This window comes from Homo sapiens, chromosome 9 (assembly GCF_000001405.40).
Source record: "Homo sapiens chromosome 9, GRCh38.p14 Primary Assembly".
Lineage (NCBI taxonomy): Eukaryota > Metazoa > Chordata > Mammalia > Primates > Hominidae > Homo > Homo sapiens.
This window is the reverse complement of record NC_000009.12, coordinates 99,380,068-99,395,029: the sequence shown is the minus strand read 5'-3', so window position 1 is coordinate 99,395,029 and position 14,962 is coordinate 99,380,068. Positions and strand designations below refer to the sequence as shown.

At 44.3% G+C, this 14,962-nt stretch overlaps 1 long non-coding RNA gene across 2 annotated transcripts in view; it reads left to right on the top strand.

The window, feature by feature from the left end:
• Nucleotides 1–6,390, top strand: part of LOC107987011 (uncharacterized) — a 71,633-nt gene extending 65,243 nt beyond the window's left edge. For both annotated transcript variants that reach the window (XR_001746548.2, XR_007061697.1), the window contains one exon: nucleotides 2,422–6,390. This is a non-coding gene — a long non-coding RNA (uncharacterized LOC107987011). The remainder of the gene's footprint in view (nucleotides 1–2,421) is intronic.
• Nucleotides 6,391–14,962: the final 8,572 nt, after the last annotated feature.

Below are 14,962 nucleotides of genomic sequence, written 5' to 3'. Positions count from 1 at the left end.
TTTTTTACAGGTAAAAATTATTTTAATTTTTAACTATAACAGAACATTAAAAATTATCAATAAACTTGAAACCTTGGTGAAATGGATAATTTTCTTCTCTTTCTTTCTTTTTTTTTTTTTTTTAAATGAAAAAGGAGTCTTGCTCTGTTGCCCAGGCTGGAGTGCAGTTGTACAATCTTGGCTCACTGCAACCTCTGCCTCCCAGGTTCAAGCAATTCTCCTGCCTCACCTTCCCAAATAGCTGGGGCTATAGGCGTGCACCACTACGTCCAGATAATTTTTGTATTTTTTTTTTTTTTTTGGTAGAGATGGGGTTTCACTATATGTTGGCCAGGCTGGTCTCCAACTCCTGACCTCAGGTAAACCATCCGCCTTGGCCTCCCAAAGTGCTGGGATTTCAGGCATAAGCCACCATGCCTGGCTGATGAAATGGATAATTTTCTAAAAGAAAAAAAAAATACAAACCACCAAGGAGAAGTAGAAAGCCTAACTAGATTAATTTTCACAGAACAAATTGAAAAAAATTTGCCAGTGTTCTACTGTTCCAGTGTTGCTGGTACATCAAAAAAGGTTTTATCTACTTTCATCTAACCTAGCACTGCAATAATTTTAACCCAGCACTGCATTAATTTTTTGATTTTTTAAATTGCACTGCACTAATTTTAACCTAGCACTGCATTAATTTTTTTTTATTTTTTAATGGAAAACTAAAAATGGGATACATTTATTATGTACAACATTGTAGTGCCCCTCAACGGCTTTCTAACTATCCAGAGAAACCCAGCGGGAGATGATCTCTCTTTTCCTCCTGCCATGATTATGTCTGGATGACAAGTCTGGCACTCCTGTAGCTGTCTTGTCAGGAGCCTGAGTACGAAGCCAGCCTGAGGATAGCAGAGAGGTGGAAAGAGCACAGGCTCTTAATGATCCCCATGATTAAGTCAACTAAATTTGATGCCTGCTTTACCCTAGAATTCTGATTTTTAGAGAATAAATTATTAGAGAATAAATCTTCTTTATTGGTTAAGCCTATTTCCCAACATTTGCTGCCCAAAGCATTCAAACTGATGTGGTAGCTGTGTGACCTTGGATAAGCCTCCTAACCTCTCTAAGCTTTATCATAATCCACGCTTTCACACTCATTATGAGGATTAAGTGGAAAAGTACATACAAAAGTATATTTCAAACAAACTATATAGTGCTGGACAATTTAGGCTATTATTATTATCACTTTGAGCTTTGGTCAATGTGCATTGGTTAAATTGAGTCTATTTAACAAAATTCTTTATATCATGGATTTAGTCAAATTTACTTTATTCTAATCTGTTTTTTAATTGACAAAATTTGGATATATTTGTCATGTTTTGCTCCTTGATGGTTTACATCATGGATTTGTTCACATCTCTGCCCTACTTTGACCCAGTAACTTCAGCTGCATGATTGCAGAGCTGTGCTAGCATGAGGACAATGCACAGGTCTTTCCCCCCTCGCTCTGCCTTGCCCAACTTCAAATGGGTCTCCTACAAGGAAAGGGAAGTGGCCGAAGTTTGTGTCATGAGAAAAAATGCCCCAGGAAGGAGAAACAAGGCAGTCTTCCAAGTCTCCCTTGAAAAATAAGAGCCCAGGAATACCTGAGAAGAAGTCTAAATGGCCCAAACCCCACGGGCTGCCCCATGGCTCCCAGGTGCCGAGGCTTGCTCCGCAGTTTCGCTTCATCTGTGCCTCTCAGTCAATACATTCCTCTGGGGGAAAATTGTAGTTCTGAGGATTTCCAAATAGCGCCTAGGCCATCTGTTCCTTCTGAGTATCTCCTCTCCTTCAGCATAAGGAAACTCTAATTGGGGGAACCTTTGCCCTTCTCCTTTTCGCTTTTTCTATGAACATGTGCAGATGAAGACAGACCGCAGCATCTCTGTTCATCTGTAGTCAGATCTCTCGACACGATGCACAGATCAGGCAGGAAGGGCTCAGGGACTTGAAGAGGCATGGGCAGTGATACCAGAGGGAATATACCCTGCTTTGGGATGGTTCTGGCAGGTGACTTCAGACTGCTCCTTGAAAGATGGAGAGATTGGGATATAGGGAGACTGAGGGGAGGAAGATCTTGCAGGTAAAGGGACCAGTATGAGGGTGAGGAGGTGAGGCCACTCAGGTAGCTTGTAGTTCAGCATTGATTAACAAATGCTGGTCTGTGGACCAGAATCAACCTGTGATAGCTTTTCTCTGGTTCACAGTAAAAGTGACAAAAATAAGGACAAAGAGTATGTTTTAAATAAAGATAATTCATTCAACTTGAAGTTTTCTTTTTTATTGTTTTGAACATTAAAATGCCTTTCCTTTTATAAAACGATTGTTATCATCAAGCATAACCATGGGAGCCATGGGTATTTTCCTAACTGTTCCTCTTCTCTCACCTTCCAGGCGTGTGGGAGGATTACTCTTCCTGGCCCTGTTTAAGTGAGGTCTGGCCAAGTGATTTGTCTTCACAAATGAAAGAAAAGTAAAAAGAACATGTCACTTCCAGGCAGAATGTCTGAAAGCCAGTGGACAGTCTGCCTTGATCCATTGTCCTGCCTCAGAGGTCATGGAAATATATGTCAAGACTCAGTCGCTGTCAGCCTGGATTCCCCAGTGACTACAACACTGCCAACCTCCCTGGGCATGTAGGGGGAGAGAAAAATAAGCTTCCATTGTATGAAGCTAAGAGATCCGGAGGGTTATTTCTTCCTGTAGCACACTCTGACTAATAGAGTAGCTAGCAGCTAGGAGGTTTTTAAATATCTTTATTTAGCAAAATGAAATGGTGCCAATCTTACGTTGATATGATTTTTTTTTCTTTTGATATTTAATTGCCCCGGGAAGTATGATGCCTTGGACATTCTGACACTGATAACTGGAGTGTGGGGAGGTGTCCGGTTTAACACGGGTAATAGTTCTCAGGACAGGGGCCACAATATGGGACCCCTCAGCCCCAATTCAACCAGAGTCACACCTGTTTTATCTGCATAATGAATAAATGAACAAGCATACTGGGGTCTGCACAAGATTTCACATCAGGAAAGGGTTTTATAGCTGAAAAAGAAAAAGTTAAAAGTTGTGCAGCAAAGACTATGCTAAGCCCTGGGAATGTGGTAAAGAATGAGACAGACACAGGCTGCATATTGGCTATGACTTTCAGCTTTGCGGGGCATGGAGAGGCCGAAAGGGCAGACAAAAGACAAGTCAACTAATTAATTAAATAACTGAAAGTAGAAACACTCTATGTAGGTAAGATATGGGGACTGAAGTAGAGATTAACAGGAGGTGGCAGGCTGGTAAGATCTCTTGTCAGAAGGTAGTATTTTAGTTGCAACCTGGAGGATGGAAGGGCTACCAGGCAAAAAGGTGTGTAACCTGTTCAAGAGGCTGAAGGCTTGCATAGCAGGAGGCAGGGCTGAGAAGGAGAGAAGCAGGAAATAAGTTGGAGGGTCCACAGGAACCTAATAAGCAGGCCCTCACAAGCCACAAGGAGGTAAGCAAAAGAGAGCAGCAGTGGATGACGCTGCCTTGCCCATGTCTACTTAATAAACACTCAGACTTGATGCCTTCAAAGCAGAAATCCTGATGTCCACTCTCTTGCTCTCCCCGTCTGCCTCTCCTCCTACCTTTCCCATCTCATAAATGGCAGTTTCATTTTTCAAGTGACTCAGGCCCCAAACCTTGAGATCCCTTTTGCCTCCATGCCTAATCCATCAGGGAATCCTACTGGCTCTGCCTCCCAAATGTACCCTGAATTGGACCACCTTTCACCACCTCAGGGCTATTATCCTTGTCCAAGATGCTAGCATCTCTTATCTGGACTTTTGGAGTAGCCTCTTCACTGGCCATGCTGCTTCCACTCTTTATCCTGAATCCTTTGCTCTACACAACAGTCAAAGAGATCTCTCAAAACACATAGTCAGACCATTGTCTACTCCAAACCTATGACGGCTTTACACCCCACTCACCATAAAACCAAGGTCGGTACCTGGGCCTTCAAGTCCTCCATGGTCTGGCCCTTGGGCAGCTTTCTTATCTCATCTTTGTTTCTCCTCCCCTTGCTCACTCAGCTGCAACCCTGTGTACCTTCTTGATGTTTTTGTTTGTTTATTTTTGTTTTGTTTTGTTTTTCGAAACAGGGTCTCACTCTGTCACCCAGGCTGGAATGCAGTGGCACATTCATGGCTCATTGCAGTCTTAACCTCCTGGACTCAAACAATCCTCCAATCTCAGCCTCCTGAGTAGCTGGACTACAGGTGAGTGCCACCATACCCGGCTAATTTTTTGTATTTTTGTAGAGACAGGGTTTTGCCACATTGCTCAGGCTTGTCTTGAACTCCTAGGCTCAAGCAATCCATCCACCTTGGCCTCCCAAAGTGCTGAGATTACAGGTGTGAGCCACTGTGCCCAGCCCTTCTTGATGTTTTTAAACATGCCAAGTGGCATGGTTTTGTGGCGTGGTCTTTGCATTTGCTGTTTTCTCTCCCTGAACCCATTTTCCTCAGTTAACTGTTTCTTGTGGTTTGCTCTCTTTCATTTGGCTCTTTTATTCATGGTCATGTTATTGGCGTGCAAATCTCTAGAAACACCTTTCATCATTTTAATCTCCACACCTGTTTATTTTTCTTCATGACACGAATCGTCACCTGACATATTTTATGCTTATTTTTTCTGGGCCATAGGTTGGCAAACTTGTCTTATAAAGGGCCAGATGGTAAATATTTTAGGCTTTGCAGGCCATACGGTTGCCGTCACAACTACTAACTCTACCATTGTGGTGTAAAACCAGCCATAGACAGTAAGTAAAATAAATGAGCATGGCTGTGTTCCAATAAAACTTTATTTACAAAAGTAGGTGGCAAGATGGATTTGACCTATAGGCCATAATCTGCCAACCCCTAGTTTAAGCATTTGCTGTCCACTTCCTAAAATGCCAGCTCCAGGAGAGTAAGGATTTTGTCTTTTTTGTTCAATACTCTCTGGAGCAACTACTAATGTGCCTGGCACATGGTAGGCAATCCATAAATATTTATTGAATTAATTAATTGATTAAAGAATAAGCTCTTGGGAGACCTTGATTATAAGGGCTTGGCTAAGGAGTTTGGATTTTCTTCTTTATAGAAGTTTGAAAAGAGTCTTCGCTAGTTTTAACAATGTTCATGACTGCTGATTGACAGCTCTTATCTGCAGTCTGCAATTCTCAGAATGAAGACATTTTGAGACAAATAACAGCCGCTTGCTCGTCTCACTGTTTACTCCTCTTGTAAGAGCACTGTATGATGCACATCACACATTGAGTTGGATGTGTGATGATGCATCAGACTGCTGCCAACAAAAACACATCGAAATAAAATAATCATCTCTGCAGAGGCCCGGGAATGACACTCCAGACATTCCATGGAAATCAAGGAGGCTGCTGCAGTTCTGCAGGAGACAGGATCGAGGACCCATCATAATGCTGGGTGTGGGGAAGCACACAGGTCAGGGCAGGATTAAATGAGTGGCAAGACTGAAAGAGTTGTAAGGAGACAGGTTAGCTTGGGCTGGCTGGAGGGAGTAGGTGGAGACAGATAAAAGCATGAGTCATTTTCTGGGACTTGGTGAGCCAAGGTGTGGGATTGGCCAAGAGTGGGATGTGCTCCTGAATTCTGAAGAACCCAGTTAGAGAAAGTATTTTCCTTGAGGAGAGGTAGGTTGGATATGCAAGTCTGGACTGTGGACAGCCTCGAAAGCCAGTTTGGGGCCAGGTGTGGGTGGTGGCTTACGCCTGTAATCTCAGCTCTTTGGGAAGGTAAGCCAGGAGGATCACTTGAGCCCAGGAGTTCGAGAGTAGCCTAGGCAATGTTCCCCTCTAATTACAATGATTACTTTTTATCTTAGCACTGGGCTGCCTAGAACTGAATCACAGCTCTGCCACTCGCTAGCTCTGTGGCCTTTGACAAGTCCCTTAGCCTTCTTGGGCCTCTGTTCCTCATTAGCAAAATGGAGGATAACAATAATACTTTTCTCGTAAGGTCACTGTAAGGATTTAATATATTAAAATATGTGATATATTTAAAACACTTCCTGGAATATAGTGAGCTCTATATAAGCAATGGCTATTATCATCATTATCAATTTTACTGTTACTACTATGTTTATGCTATGTGTGCCCATATCTTATCTGCTATAATAGATTTGAGCCTTTGAAGGCAAGAACTGTACCTGATTCATTTTTCATTTTCCCCAGTGAGTAGTAAAATGCATTCACATAGTATGTGCTCAATAAGTATTTGTGAAGTTAATAAATAAATGATCAAATTAATGAATGAATGTAATCTTTGGAATGGGATTTAACTATGGTGCTGCAAATAAAGTATTATTTGTATTCAAGGATACTCTGATTTTTAGAAAGAAAAACAAATGATGTGGATAATGACAGGACCCTAAGAACTTGAGTCAGAAACATGGGACAAGGCCGGGCATGATGGCCCATGCCTGGAATTCCAGCACTTTGGGAGACCGAGGTGGATGGATCACTTGAGCCCAGAGTTTGAGACCAGCCTAGGCAACATGGTGAAACTCCGTCTCTACAAAAAATACAAAAATTAACCAGGGGTGGTGGCATGTGCTTGTGGTACCAGCTACTCGGGAGGCTGGGGTGGGAGGATCTCTTGAGCCCAGAAGGTGGAGGCTGCAGTGAGCCATGATTGCACCCCTGCACCCAAGCAAGACTCTATCTTAAAAAAGGAAAGGAAAGGAAAGGAAGGAAGGAAGGAAGGAAGGAAGGAGGAAAAGAAGGAAGGAAGGAAGGAAGGAAGACAGGGCAAATCCTACAGAATGTATTTTCTTTTTCTTTCTTTTTTTTTTTTTTAAGACGGATTCTCATTTTGTTGCCCAGGCTGGAGTGCAGAGGCACAATCACGGCTCACTGCAACCTCTGCCTCTCAGGTTCAAGCAATTCTCTGCATCAGCCTTCTGAGTAGCTGGGATTACAGGTGCCCGCCACCATGTCTGGCTAATTTTTTTGTATTTTTAGTAGAGATGGGGTTTCACCATCTTGGTCAGGCTGGTCTTGAACTCCTGACCTCATGATCCACCCGCCTTGGCCTCCCAAAGTGTTGGGATTACAGTTGTGAGCCACCACACTCGGCCAGCATGTATTTTCAAAACCCAACTCTGTGCCTTCATTTTTCCATTGGCAAAATAAGAAAGTTTGATTAAATTATCTTAAACGTCCTATATGGTCCTAAAGTTCTATTATTGGGAATCACTAGATTCTCAAGAGTCTTGTTTTTTGGTGACTACATCATTTGGAATTTCCTAGAAAAATGAGCGGAAGAATTTCTTTAATTGAAAAATGCTTCCAAAGGACTCCTAGTACTAGGATGTAGAGAAAGATCTTATCAAATATAGTGAGAGCTTGAGTTAGAGGTGGATTCTTTGTTTCCTCATTTTAATTAGTACTAACATATCAAGAAGAAAAATTATTCTATCTACATGAGCCACATGTGCCCCAAAGACACAGGAAGCTTGCAAACAGGGACCAGGCCTGTTCAGAAGTCCCTGGGAAAAAGGACAATGAGAAGCACCAGCAAAATGAATACAAATTCACTTGGGAGTCACTGACCCTGCTGAATAAGTGGTTTGGCAGAGTGAGCTGTGCTGCTGCAAATCTTTTTGGGGCTCAGTGTAAAGGGTGAAGACTCTGACTTTTTTTTTTTTTTTTTTTTTTGAGATGGAGTCTCACTCTGTCACCCAGGCTGGAGTACAGTGGCACGATCTCAGCTCACTGCAGCCTCCGCCTCCCAGGTTCAAGCAATTCTCCTGCCTCGGCCTCCCAAGTAGCTGGGAATATAGGTGTGTGCCACCATGCCCAGCGAATGTTTTGTATTTTAAGTAGAGATGGGGTTTCACCCCATTAGCCAGGATCATCTTGATCTCCTGACCTCGAGATCTACCTGCCTTGGCCTCCCAAAATGCTGGGACTGCAGGCATGAGTCACCAACCTGGCCAACTTTGGCTTCTAAAGATGCCTTGAGACAATGGCAGAGGGAGATCTAGACCAGATGGCCCTGTCTTCTAGGTCTCACTCAGCATCTTCTCCAACTGCCTGTGTGGCTATCATTTGTGTTATTGGATGTTAAATTCTCCAAAGATTGGGCTTATTTGTCTGAAGACTCACTAGCGTCTAGTAAGTGCAAAACAAATATTTGTTGAATGAATGAATAAATGTTGGTTAAGCCTTAAAGTCTGGCTTTGGGGAATGGTGAGGTGAGAGAGGAGGTGTCGTGGGTCCTTTAATTTCCAGGTTGTGTGGTGGTAACCCGATGAACAGTTATTTCCGGGTTAAAAGAAATTATATGTGTAGTTACCAGATAAAGGCAAAGCAACCAGCACATGTTCTTCCTTCTTCTCTCTTGACTCCTTCTCAGTCACCTTGGGCTGAGAGTAGAGTCCTGAGGGCAAGGAGCCTAAAGCTGTAACACTGGCACAGTCTGTGGGTTTGCCCATCGCTGAAGGAAGTGCCTGGGATATCGGGTGGCTGGTAGCTCGGGATAACAAAAGCCATGAGGCAGACACGGCTGATTTCTGTTGGGGTTCTGCCTCTCCTACACAAACCCTGCAGCATGTGATCTCCCCCAAAAGAGCCCTGTGCTGGGTTGCTGGGTTCTGGGCAGGGAGAGGGAAGCTAGATTCCTCCTCAACAGATGTCACCATAATTAGATAACTCATTATATCAAGGAATAAGGAAGGGAGATCAACATGGATACAAATGCAAACATATTGATAGCTTTTCTGCATGTGAGTTTGTGCAATCTGGGAAACTGATTTCCTGGACAAGGCTCAAGGGATGAGTCAGCGGTTGGAGCCTGGGGAGATTTTCCACAATGAAATTCTAGTCCCAGGAAAGTATCCTAAGAGCTTTCCACCCTGTAAGATCATTCCCAGGGGCGGCCACGGCTGGAAGCCAGTGTGGGTGTGTGCCTATGTTCGGGAGAAGCCCAGCAGGGAGCCAGAGCCTGGGGGTTGGAGGAGGGCAGGGGACACAGGCATGCTGTGAGTGAGGCAGGCTGCATGGGCCATGGCTGAAGCTGATGCAGCATACCCCATCCACGAGGGCTGCCCCTGCCTGTGGTGACAGCCCTTGGAACTGACTAACAGCAGGAACAGGCTCCTGCCATCTGAGTTTGAAGCCTCCCTGGGGAGGTCCCCAGGGTCCCCAGGCTGGGATTAAGTGTCTTTCGCAAGTGTTCCCATATGACCCTGCTCATTCTGTTGGAGCACCCATTGTTCTATCATGGATGTGCCTCTTTTCCCTGTGGCAAAATGTGTGCCATGGACTACATGATCTTTTCCAGTTCGAACATTCTAAAGATGGATATGCCTAAAAAAAAGAAAAGAAAAGAAAAGAAACTGAATTGACATCGAACACATGGCCGCTCCTTGGCTGAGCATTTCGCATCTATCATTTCCAACAACCTCCTGCTGTGGACCTTGCAGTTTTCAGGGGGCAGTGATGACTTAAACCACTTATGCCTTCTGAGATCCCAGAGCAACCCAGGCTCTTTCCCTATGGTCTGGTTAGCAATGTGTACTTAGCACTTTTCTCCTACAGGAGACTTAGGGAAGTGGAGGGTGTGAACAGGGAGAGCTGCTCCTGCAAGAGTTCCTAATGCGTGCTCCTCCCATGCCTTCATTCTCCATTCCTGCACCCCAGGCATTTCATCTGGGGTTCCCAGACATCATCCATTCCTTTCTCCCCATCTTCACCCCAGCATCTAACACACAGTGAATGACCTCTCCTATCTTACAGAGCAAATAGAATCAACAGGAAGGGAACTCCCTCATCTTACTGCCATGGAAGAGGTGCCCCACCTCCTCCCTAAGAACTTCCCTGGTGGCTGAAACCCACCTCACACTCGGAGAGTCGTGGTCTATCCTTGATTGCATTTCTTGAATCTCTCCTTTCCTCTGCCCCCAGCCTAACCTAGCCCCTCTAGACTTTCCTCTGGGCAATTATGATATACCCCACCATCTCCCCAGTGGTCTTTCTGCCACTACTCTCTTCCTCATTCTGGGCCTTAGATTTCCCACCCACATCTCACACACCTCCTGAACCTACAGAAAGACCTTTCAGCTGCTTGAAGCTGGCACTCATAGATCTTGGTATGAGTCCCAGGGAAAATCCTTTTTTGGTACCCAAAGTCCATAAGCAGATAACACTATCCCAAAGTACTTGAAGCAGATAGGCTTTAAATATAAACGCAGAAGTCCTTAGTTGTTTATGTTTAGAAGCCAGTGCTATGTGTGAGACATTAAAGATATGGCAGGCTTCTAGCTATACATTCCTAAAGAATTGGTGGTCACTATAGCCCAGAGAGTCCAGGCCTCAATGAGAGATGACTGTCAATAAAAGGTAGGTCTATGCTCAGCTGGTCACATAAAACAGCCAGTGACCGCTGCTCCTGAACAGCCTGCGGCAATGACACCTGGTCCTGCTACTATTGCTCCTGCTGACCGGAAGGCCACCTGGGCTGGGAGACAATGCAGAGGGCCCCCTTTCCTCAGGGATTAGATATAGTCAGACTGTCTCCACTTTCCACTGGAGTCATTGGCCCCAAACCTGCTTAAAGGCTGGGAAACACTGACACCCCTTGCCTAGGAATCCACTTTCTTCCTATTTGGTCTTAGGGAAATGAGAGGCAGTGTTAAAACTTTCTGGACAGTGTTTTGTTCAGGCCTTGTGAATCTGTGTAAAAGTCCATTTAGAGGACCTGTTTGTATTTGTAGCTCCAACTCTGGAACCAGAAGGTCAGTCTTTAACAGATGAATGCCGACTGTCCATCCCCTTTCCAGCATTGTCTCCTGCTCGTTCTGTATGGCGACTCTCTTTCCCTAGACATGCACCATGCTTCTTTCTTCTGTTTCCCTTTATGGCCAACTCTGACCATCCAGTAAGGACCCTTTCAAACTTCACCTTTCCAGGCAGCTTTCTGGGCTTTGCCTAGCATAGTATCTCTCACAGTCCCGTGCTATCCAGTCAGCACGCTCTACTTTCTATTAGAGACATTGTTGTGCTTGTCTTGTCTCTCCGTCTACTCAGGAATTTTTCCAAGAAACAAATCAGTCTAAGTCGTGGAGCACATCCTCTGGGCCCCAGCATGATGTCGACTGCATGTAACTTGCTATGGAAGGAGTATATTGTTTCCTGGCACTTACTAGATACCTTATATTCATTATCTTTCCAAAGTTAATCTTTTCAAAGCCTTGACAGGGATATCATCCCATTTTGCAGATGGTAAAACTGAGGTTCTGAGAGGTAACATGACTTGCCCAGGGTCACTTGGGTAGCAAGTGACTGAGATGGGATTTGAACCAGACTTTTGTTTGCAGGCTCCTGCAGTGTGAATGGAGGGGTAGGAGGGGTAGAAGAGCTAACTTGCTCAGTTGTGTAAACACTGCTTTATAGACACAGTCTTTCCCCACCAGAACATATATTTGAGATGCCTTTGAGAACTTTTGAAGGAGCTCTTGGAAGAATGGAGTCAATGTGGCCACTAAAGGGGAGCACCAGAAAGCAGATCAGAAACCAAGAGTTTGGTTTTCTTCTGCTGGCCCTCCTCCCCTTCAAGGAATTTGGTTTACAAGTTGTGGAAGAGAGAAGGGGAAAAAAGAGAATTTCCAGATGAGAGAAATGGTGTAGATATGAAAGTGTGGGCAACTGTGGGAAGATACATAGGTTGTGTCCATATAAAAGAGACCTCTGTAAAAATGTATGTAGTTTGTCATTGCTTTCTGACGTCAGACTGCTGTTTCTTGTCCATATGACCTAATGAGGTGGGACTGGAGGTCACCCAGTATATGTCCCCGCACGTCTCTTCCTGTGAGCAGAGCAGGTGTTGGTATCTCTATTTCACAAGAAGTGGATTTATGTGCTTCAAACCAGAATTTTTCTACTCGGGCTGCTGTAACACAATACCAAAAACTGGTTTAAACGCCGAAATCTATTTTTTCACAGTTCCGGAGACCAGAAGTCCCAGATCAGGGTCTAGCAGAGTTGGTTTTTGATGAGGACTCTCTTCCTGGCTTGTGGACAGCCACCTTCTCACTGTGACCTCGCATGATGGGGAGTGAAAGATCTTGTGAGCTCTCTGATGCCTCTTGTTAAAAGGACACTAATCATATGGTGTTAGAGGCCCAACTTATGAGCTCATTTAACTTTAATTACCTCCTTAGGGCCCTATTTCCAAATATAGTCACACTGGGGGTTAGGGCATCAACTTATGGATTTGGGCAGGGCAGTGGGTGGAAGGAGACACAATTCAATCCATAGCAAAACTCAGATCTCCTAATCCTGAGCCAGTGTCCTTTCTCTGGGGCTGCTTACATCTGCGTGTTCTCCTGTGGCCTGGCCTCATGATGTGAATCCAGCTTGTCTATCCCAGGTCTTGTGCAAGGAGGAGAGAATCACCTCTGTGCTTTTGAACTCTCCTCTCCCTGTTCGTGGCAGTTTCCCACTGGTTCTCAGAGTCCTGAGACTGATGCTTATTTGTTGTGGGGCACTGGTGATCTTTTTTGATAGCAATAGAAAGAGAAAGAACTATGGGATCCAGTTCACTGTACATTCAAGATCCATCAAAGGTGGGCTGTGGCTATAGAAATAAGAATGCCGTTTTAAAGTGCAATGTTCAGATGTCCAAGTTTACTGAGCTATTTAAACCATGTCTAGAGTACTGTGTTCTGAGCGTCACTTATATCCAGGTTGCCAAAGGGGTGGAAATAACACTCTCTAGTTAATGGTTAAAGGAACTATGGATATGGGGTAGAGGTGAATATTTCTTCTCTAAAGAGCTGTTTTGAGGCAAAGGAAGATGAAGGATGCTTGCATGGGCCTGGGTTGGGGAGGCAGGATGGGTGGAAGAAGCTCTAGCAAAGCAGCTTTCACTTAGTCAGAGGACCCTTCCTGAGGCATAGAACTTCCCAAAGATGGATGAATGGTGGTGATCTCTTGGGTGTGTCCAAGCAGAGGTGGGATGAGCTTGGGGATTGGAGGAGAAGGTCAGATTGGCAAAGAGTAAGCTATTACATATGAAATGTAGCCCGTGGGGTTTTCATTGCAAAAACACAATCTGCCTTCTTATTTTGGACTTTCAATTTATTACTAAGAGAGACAGAACAGCCAGGAACTTTTTGGAATATACAAGAGTCCAAGGTAGCCAGTTGTAAATGACCCAGAAACTAAAGGAGCCTACATTTAGGAAACTTGCCTGCATTGTACATCATTCCTATTTTGAGGATTACCTCCTGAAACAGAGACTGTCATTTCTGGCGCCAACTTCAGAAATAATAACATCCCCTTAGGGCTTGTAATCCACACTAGAGAAATCATTAGCTCAGATACCTAGCACCATCTGAAAGAGCTGCTCTATCTCACTTGAATCAAACCAAACCAGCAAATATTTACCGAACACCTTGCCTGTGCAAGGCCAACCAAGATGGGTAAGATCTGGTTCCTGCCATCTAGGCACCAACAAGAGAGGGAAGGGGAGAGGACAGGTTGTAAAAAGCTTAATTACAATGTCACCTCTTCTAGCGCTTTTCTAAATTGTTGCAATTATTTGTTTAAAATGGCCAGCTGCCCCACCAAGCTGTGAATTCCCAAGGACAGTATAGCTTACTGGGTGAGACACAGCACTTATACTAATAAAACCTGAGCTCAGCTTTCCACCCAGCCATGTGTCAGTTGCAACTTAGGACAAGTTGTTTCACTGCTCTATACTTCAATTTCCTCATCTGAAAATGTAAATAATATTGGTACTGATTATTGTGTGAATTAAAGCAAATAATATATGTAAAGCACTTAGCACTGTGGCCTGGTATATACATGACACAATAAATATTTGCCACTACTAGTAATAGTAATACCGTGGGATTGCTCTATGTAGGAGTTAATTTCGGAAGTAAGTTCACAAGGTAGAAACCATACATAATCAATATGATTCTTCAAAATCCCATCTTACATGCTCTCAAAATGATATACCTCTCTTCTCTCTCTCTCTTTCCCAGTCTCTCCTCCCTGTCACATGAATAGGATTGGCCCACTTAAGTTAATAACAGCTAATATTTAATGTGTGCTTATTACATGGCAGGTACTGGTAGAAACCTTTACATGCATTAACCCATTTCATTTAATGCCATATCAATTCCATGGGTAAGTACTAGGATTTGCTCCATGAGAAAACTGAGGCACAAAAAGGTTAAACAACTTGCCCAAATAACACAGGGACTTTAATCCAGGTGGTCAGCCAGCCAGGCTCCAGAATACGCATTTGCAACCCCTGGGTCCAACTGTCTCTTCTAAAGTAAATAAGATGTGACTGTCCTCTAATACTAATTTTGGTATGGCCAGGCATTTGTACAAATCCTGGAATACAGTGGATGTTTGCTGAATGTTTGTGGAATGAATGAATTCCTCAGGTTACTCATTGTAAGAACTACTGCCTTTGCACAGAGAACCCATCTGTTCATAAACTCACAGGCAGCGGAGGGGAAATGGGGCTGGGGTGAGGCCAGCAAGGAGCATCTCCACCTCGGGAGCCTCTTTGCTGTTCTCTGTTGATGCTTGGCCGGCTCCTGGTCCATGTCTCCATCCTCATCCTCCTGGAGCCAGCTCATTCCCAACTCAAACCATCCTGCAACAAGAAGTCTTCATCCCATGCAGCTGCCATCTTGTGTCATTTTGCAGATGCTATGTCACTATCTTCTTCTAGGGTGAGGGTGTAAAGGGAGCAGGGAGGCCAGGAGCAGTGGCTCATGCCTGTAATCTCAGCACTTTGGGAGGCCAAGCCAGGTGGATTGCCAGAGGTCAGGAGTTCAAGACCACCCTGGCCAACATGGTGAAACCCCGCCTCAACTAAAAATACAAAAATTAGCCAGGCATGATGGCGGGTGCCTATAATCC